We start from the raw sequence: 8,269 nt of genomic DNA, 5'->3' as shown, positions 1-8,269 counted from the left end.
TCTCAAAAATCATACATAAGATTTTGGCTGGAGCCAGACATTTCAGAGATGAGAGGAATGGAATGTTCCTGTAAGGCAGGCAGAGGGACATGGCAGATGGTTGGGAATCAATGTTACTTCTACACTGAGGTGAAGCATGCAGAGGCACCAAGGAAACCTACCCACAGATGGCGGTACTCTCAGACACAAGGTCCCAGAATTGAAGAACCAGAATTTTGAGTGGAAATAGTATTTGGGGCCATTAGATAATATCTTTCCCTCTTTCATTTATTTGGAAGATGGCTCAGGGAAGAGAAACATATAACATATTTTGTGGATCTTTTTCTTCTAAAAAATTAAACACTAAAGTGGGAAGATGATTTAAAACTAATGTGATGAGAGATGCTTTGTTTTCAGTGTCTGTCCCCTCTAAAACTCAAGTTGAAATTTAATCCCTAATGTGGCAGTAGTGAGAGATGATTGGGTCATGAGGGCTCTCCCCTTATGAATGGATTAATTTATTGATTAATGCATTAATGGATTAATAGGTTATCTTGAGAGTGTGGCTAGTGGCTTTGTAAAAAGAGTAAGAAAGACTTGAGTGTGTTAGCATGTAAGCACACTCAACCCTCTCACCATGTGATACCCTGTAGCACTTGGGACGCTGCATGGTCCCCACTAGCAAGAAGGCCCTTGCTAGATGCAGCTCTTCAACTTTGAAATTTTCAGGCTCCCCATAATAAAGTAATTCTTTTTCTTTATAAATTACCCAGTTGCAGGTGTTCTTTTATAAGCAACAGAAAACAGACCAAAACAAGGGATAAAGAATATTTTTCTTTTCTTGAAAGAGACTACTTTGAACAGTAAAAAAATGGAAGACAAAGTGCATAAAAATATATGGGTCCTAGAATAGAGATGTAGCAAGGCCCAAGAAAGCGATGGTGACAGAAAACATCTCAGCAGAGAGAATTCGAGGCGGCATGGCCAGTTTCCCTGCCATAGGGTAGCGCGAAAAATAATAGCGGTTAACAGAGCTGGCCAATGACAAAGGATCTTATGTCCCCAACCTCCTGTCTTATCAAGAGCTTGCCACCATAGGTGGTTTCAGGCCTCTAGCATAACTGTGATGTAAAGGTGATAACTTAGGTTATGTGTTTATCAATCTAAGCAGAATGGATTTGGAGTAGGCAATTAAGCTAAGTTAGAGAATACTAACTTATAATGTGAGCTGAGATTCACATGTGCCGCTGTAATACTGAGAGGCACTTATTAATAAGTATTTAGTTTTAGTGAGCATTTATTGTATGTCAGGTGTTTTAAGTGTTTGAAAATAACATGATGCTCACAAAAATCCATTAGATAGAAATTACTAATATATACTTTTTACAGTTGAGAACATTTGAGTCTTGGGTATATAAAATAATATATCCATACTTTGCAAACTTGGCAAGTGGCTGACCGCAGACTTGAATATTACTCTACCTCTAGAAATTTTGCTGTACACATTCACACTTATGTGAGGAAATAAAGTGAAAAACAGGATTGTTCCTTACCAATAGAAAAGATTGACATTTTCCTGATCTTGAATAAAAAATATAGACAAACTTTCAGTAAATGTTACTTGATATTGTATCTGAGATATCTCTGTAGAAGTTTGGGCTTGCCTGACAGATGATGGTTGTGCTGGGCCTTGCAGATAGAAGTAAGATAACCTGGTTGAAGAAAGAGAGATTTTATGGAGAGTCTAGAGACCTCATCTGGCTTTGCATCACTTATCAACATATTCCCCCTGCAAGCGCAGTGCCTGGAATGAAAACAAAAGAAGGCATTAAATACATATTTAATGTCAATTGAATAAATAAACTGATCTCAAGCAATTCACTTTTCTCTAAAGCCCTCAGTTTTCTTATCTGTAAAATGGAAAAAAAATATGTCTGTAACCCAGGGTTTTGTTGGGATAAGATGAGAAGATATTTTTTTAAAAAAGTTGGAAAACTTAAACAGCTATAAAAATATAAGGTGTATTTCTTTTAACCATTTCACAGGATTGATTTTATAAAAACAGAAAATTGAAACTTGAATTATATGGAATCCAGCCCTTGCCAACAATCTCTGTGCAAACATCTGGTAACTAAAACATACAGTCTAAGGAACAGGCTAACTATGTTGTTCTCTTTAGAGAGTAGTTTTCCCAAACATATCAACCGTATTATGTTAGAGCAAGATAAAAGGAAATACCTATGTATAAATCTGCTCCGGTTGCCATAACAAAATACCATAGACTGGGTGGCTTAAACAACAGAAATTTATTTCTCACAATTCTGGAAGCTGGAAGTCCAAGGTCAAGGTGCTGTCAAGGTAAATGTAATTCTGAGGTTTTCTTGGCTTATAGGTGGCCATCACCTCACTGTGTGCTCACATGATCTCTTCATGCACACGCAGAAAGCGAGAGCTCCCTTGCTCTCTACCTTTATTTATAAAGGCTCTCCTATCGTGAGAGCGCCACCCTTATAAATTAATCTAAGCTTAATTATCTTCCAAAGGCCCTATCTCCAAATATCACATTGGGGGATAAGGCTTTAATTCAGCAGTCCCCAACGTTTGAACCGTAATAATTTGGGATGAAACTGATCCGCCTGAGATCATCAGGCATTAGTTAAACTCTCACAAGGAGCGGGCAACCTAGACGCCTCTCATGTGCAATTTACAATAAGGTTCGCCCTCCTACCAGAATCTAATGCCGCAGCTGCTCTGACAAGAGGCAGAGTTTGGGCAGTAATGCTCGCTTGCCTGCCGCTCACTTCCTGCTGTGTGGTCCAGTTTCTAGCAGGCCATGGACGGGTACCAGTTCGCGGTCCTAGGGCTGGGGACTCCTGCAGTTTAATACGTGTATTTTTCCGGGGAGTCGGGGGGAGGTGGGGGTAGGGTGATAGTAAACAGTTCAGTCCATGGCGACCTGGATAATATTATGGATGCTATTATTTTAGTTGCTTATAGGAAGGCTCTCATGTGTTGTCATTTAGTTTCGCTTCCCAGGCTTTATCTACCAAGGCTTATGATTTTTATAAGACATGGTCTTTTGAAGAATGATTGTATAACTTTACAAAGATATATCTGAAAACACTGTGCCCTACTAGAATAACCTTATATTGGGGAGTACCAGGTAGGTACTTCCCAGACTTTAGTGCAAATAATGTTTTTGCTCTCAAAATACACTTCTGTGTTTTCATTTTTCTAATAATAAAATCGGTATTTCCCTGGCTGCCAGGAGAAACAAAAGCTAAATCTAGAGCTTATTTTCAACAAGTAGTTTATCATACGTCCTTGATTTAGTTTTGCGCTGTCTTGCTCATGTACAAAGTTTCCAGTATATCTTGAGCACTTGCTGTGTTTTTTTTTTAAGTCACTGTCATTAATTATTGTTCTTACATGTGCTTATTTTCCATGTAAATTTCACAGCCTTTAAGCTGCTCATACAAAACCAATATTCAACTCAAGGCCTGGTAGACTGCAAACTTTAGAGTACAAGACTTGTACATTCCCCTCCCAGTATTGTTCTCATAAGTCTCAGGTCTTCTTACTGTCTTGTTTCATTTTTCACATTAATAAATTTAGGAGGATTGTGGTGACCTATTTGTCACAGGATATTGGGAGAAGATAATTTTATAAATTGCAATACTCTGAAGGACCAAAGGGCTTAAATTCTAGGAGCAATGTAAATAATACATTATACTTCAGCCCCAATTAATTTTCATAGACACAGAAAATAGAGAGTATGCATTAAGGGTTTTAAATTATTATTATTTCGAAAAGGGAGGAGCAGAAAATGCTCTGATGCTGCAATGCTGTATTGGAGTGCATTTCTGAGGCAGATAATGCTATTAATATGCTTGCTTTGGTTATAGTCATGTCATGGAAGCATACTAGGAAGCACAAAGCCCAGCTGATTGAAGAAGTTGCAAAGTAGCTTTAAAGTAGCACGTGATGACCCATTTTGCTAGGTGAAGGTGATTTTGTCCAGGTTATAAGACCCTTTAGGATGACAATGCATGCTTGGTTGAAGTTCTTGCATTTAGATTTACTACTAAACAAGTAAAAAAACAGTAAGAGAGGTCAACATTCACCTGCAGGAACAGCTTCACTGCCTGTCTTATTTCTCCTGAAGGCACATTCCAAGTCTGGTGGTCAAAGAAGCCCTTACAGAATAATAAATACATTATGTTAGAGACTACAAAAACAGGATTTTTTTATTAGCCTAAGGATGGGACTAAATTATAGTCAAAGGTCTCCCCTATTACCAGTAAAATCATTGTCATTCTTGCCTTGACAATGTTACTTAGTTCTATATTCTATTTCTTAATACTATGATCTGGCCTAAGGCAGTCTGGCTCATAGAATACTACAAGCATATGTATGATAAAACAAACAGAAAATAAAGCAAACCCTTCTGAATAGAGGTGTAAAAACGCTATTATCTAGATATTTATTTTCTGGGGTTTTTCCATTTGAAACTAAAACAATGCTTTTATAGGCAATGAATTCCTATGGTACAGGTGAATAATTTTCTCCAGGGAAAAAGACACTAGATAAAGATATTTCTTGAAACAAAAGACTATTATAGTTTGCTTAATGTCTAAAATACTTAGAATTGGATACTCTGAGTTGCTCTATAAAGAAGAGATTTTGATTGTTTTCTCTGAGAGAGTCACTGTAGGACCTTGGAGAACTTCTTGAAATTTTTTGAGACCCCCCCTTGGTACTTGTGACTATGAGCCATTATAATAATATAAAATTACCATTATGTATTATGTGTATAGCTCACATCATGGTTTATAGTAACTGAGCAACATCTTTCCATGATGAATGTGCTGCGGCGTTTTTAAAAATTTATAAAAACTTGAGCTACAATGGGACTTGAATGTGGTACTGTAGCTATTTTTTTCTGGATTTTATCAAATTTTCTTACATTTATTTCCTACAAACATACTAAACAATAAATCGCAGCAAAAGTAGGAAAATCCATAAGGTTCCTTTAATAAATTTATGCTCTCAATAATTCTCTATAGAACTGATTGAATGAATAGGAACAGAGAAAGCTTTTAGAATACAGAGAGCCATAGAGATTATTTTGAAAGCTTTACTTAAAAAGTAGCAAAAAGAACATCAACATAACTCAGATAATATTTTGAACTATATCATTCTTTTCTTCAATGATGTCTAAATACAACTCCCACATACTTCTTACATAATTTACTGGAGTTTCCCCTAATGACTTTGCTTGTGAGAATAAAGAAAAGTATTTTCCTTATTATTTTAAGTATAGCTAAGGAACTTGACTATTGTATACAAAACAAAAATAAGAAAACTATAGAAGATGGAGGAAAGAAAGCAGAGGAGACCTTGAGTCCTGAAACATTGAGGAATCCCTGGGTTTTCTTTTTGTCTCATATATTACAGATTTTGTACAGGAGACATTAGGAACACAGAAATGTAACAACCTTCACAACTTCTTGTGAATCTGTAATTATTTCAAAATAAAGAGCTTAATAAAAAAAGCTACTAACAACAAAAAAACCCACAACAATCCAGCCCATTAGTATATAACATAGATATAGTTTACAGCATGGTTTATAATAATTGATAAATATCCTTCCATGTGTAACATGGTATAATAATTTATAAAATCCATAAAACTTTCAGCTATAGTGGATTTTGATTGCCAAACTATAGTTCTTATATCTGGCTATCTCTTATTAAATTTTCTTAAATTTATTCTTTGTAAACACACTGACTAGTGGGAAAAAACAGGAGAATCTGTAAGGCCTCTTGAATAAAGTTGTGTTCAACATAATTATCTAAATATATAACTGACAATATGTATAAATAAATATATACTCTATCATTCATTCATGACAGAGTAGATAGATTACAAAAAACACACTGTTTTTCTACACGTTCACACAACACTTCTGACACAAGATGTGTGGGTATTTTCCACACCAAGCAATTCTCCAACTCTATGGACACCAGCTGGGTGCCCTAGAGTTTAATCCAATTTTGATACTATCTGTCTACCTACATTTAGCATCAGATTTCACAGGGTAAGGGCTCAGTCTCATAAGACTGGCCCCACTTCAGATGCCAAGTGCCAGGTCCAGTCCCCTATTACTTATGACTGACCACCTATAAGTCAGAAGTTTCAACTACTCCCTTCTTAGATTCAGTAATTTGCTAGAATGGTTTGCAGAACTCAGGGAAACACTTAACTTAAATGTGTTGGTTTATTATAAAGCATACAACTCAGGAAGAGCCAGATGGAAGAGAAGCATAGGGCAAGATATGGGGGAGGGCTGGGCGGTGGTGTTGCAGAGCTTGTAGGCCTGCTCTGGGTATACCATCCTCCCAGTAAACCCCCTGTTCAGCAACAACAAAGCTCATCAAATATCCTTGTTCAAGAGTTTTTATAGAGCATATTCTCTAGTCTCCCTCTGCTCCTCAGATGTCAGAAGGTGGGGCTGAAAGTGTTAACCCTCTAATCAATAGGCCTTTCTGTTGACAAGCACAATCCTGAGGCTATCTAGGGGCTCCAACCTAAGTCACTGCATTAGCATGAACACAGGTGTGATCAAAAGTGACTGATTATGAATAACAACAGATGCTCCTCTCAATCAGTAAATTCCAATGGTTTTAGGAGCTCTGCAACAGGAATCAAAAACAAAGACTAAATATGTATTTTATCACAGAGGAGAATTTAGAGACATCATTTTTCAATATTTATCTGACTAACAAAAGCTAAAACGATTTTAAATGATAAGGTTATCTAAATGTAATTTTTTATGTTGTTAAATTCTAACAAACCTTATGAGATAGCCAGTTCCTTTTTTAAATCATGAATATTGTTTAAAATTAGTATGATTCTATAAGCCACCTTTGCTTTCTGAGGCTTCAGTAATAAATGCAGGTATTATGATCAGATTTATAGTGGAACAAGGAAAATTGCAGCTGTTAAAATGTATAAATAAACTCTTTTCTAGGTTTTTAACTGTCCCTTTGAGTCACTGTGTTTTCTTGGGTGGCTTGGGATTTTGGATAACATTTTTTTGATGATTGAGATTAGAAAAAAAAAAACCCTAAGGAGTAAAGGAAATTAAAGGATAATTACTTCTTGGTGGCAGGAAACAAGACAGAACCAGCTAAGTTGCAGCTTCCCATTGTACCTTTGTCATTTTTATCTGGCTGTGATACAGAGAGCAAACCCTTACCTATTTTATCCATTGTTGCATAACAAACTAAGCCAAAACTTATAATAGCCACCATTTTATTAGTTTGCCAGTCTTGGGTCAGCTGCTGGGTTATTCCTCTGGTTCGGGTTAGCATGTTGGATTTCTACCATCAGCTGGTGATGTGACTGGGGCTGGTGATTTGCTTGGGGCTGAAGAGTTTAGGATGGTTGCAACTTTCTTGTTTGGCATTAGGGCTCCTCCGTTGGGATGGCTTGTTTCTGCTGCAGGTGGTTCCTACATTAGGCTAGCCAGGGCTTCTTTACATGAAGATAAAAAGATCCCCAACTGTAAAAGGGAAGAGATTAAGATTGTAAAAGTTGTTTTCAAGCCTCTGCTTACTCCTGCTTGTTAATATCCAATTAGTTATGGAATCTAATACAGAAGCAATAAGCAGAGAGATAGATCTCACCTCCTAATAGCAAAGTCATATTGCAAGGGTACATGCATTGAGGAAGAGAGGAATTTGTGGCCATTTTTTTTTGGTAATTGATTAATACATTATTAGGCACGATAGAAAGCTCTCTTTTCATAAAATTACTGATAAAATTATTTGTAAATATCAACAATGTTTTGTTTCTACAGTAATCAGCTGAAATCCAAATGTAGCTTTATTATACTGGGCATTTGTTTGTAGTTGTGGGTGTTAACAAAAAGGAGTCCCAATCCAGACCCCAAAAGAGGGTTCTTGGATTTCTCACAATAAAACATTTGAGGTGAGTCCACAGGGTAAATTGAAAGGAAGTTGATTAAGAAAGTAAAGGAATAAGAGAATGGCTAGTCCTGAGGGCTGCTGGTTGCCTATTTTTATGGTTATTTCTTTATTAAAGAAGGAGTGGATGCTAAACAAGGGGTGGATTTTTCACGCTTCCCCTTTTTACAACATGTAGGGTACCTTCCTGACGTTGACATGGCATTCATAAACTGTCATGGCACTGGTGGGAGTGTAGCAGTGAGGATGACCAGATGTTACTCATGTCGCCATCTTGATTTTGGTGGGTTTTGTCTAG

At 36.8% G+C, this 8,269-nt stretch overlaps 1 long non-coding RNA gene across 1 annotated transcript in view; it reads right to left on the bottom strand.

Moving 5' to 3' along the window:
* Positions 1-1,261: 1,261 nt before the first annotated feature.
* The window catches only part of LINC02496 (long intergenic non-protein coding RNA 2496), a 45,534-nt gene continuing 38,526 nt past the window's right edge, over positions 1,262-8,269 (bottom strand). The window contains exons 3-5 of the long non-coding RNA NR_183857.1: positions 7,242-7,547; positions 4,104-4,175; positions 1,262-1,783 (exon numbers count right to left, since the gene is read on the bottom strand). This is a non-coding gene — a long non-coding RNA (long intergenic non-protein coding RNA 2496). The remainder of the gene's footprint in view (positions 1,784-4,103; positions 4,176-7,241; positions 7,548-8,269) is intronic.

The sequence above is a fragment of the Homo sapiens genome, chromosome 4 (assembly GCF_000001405.40).
Source record: "Homo sapiens chromosome 4, GRCh38.p14 Primary Assembly".
Taxonomy (NCBI): domain Eukaryota; kingdom Metazoa; phylum Chordata; class Mammalia; order Primates; family Hominidae; genus Homo; species Homo sapiens.
The sequence above is the reverse complement of the archived record's forward strand: the minus strand, read 5'-3'. Positions and strand labels throughout refer to the sequence as shown.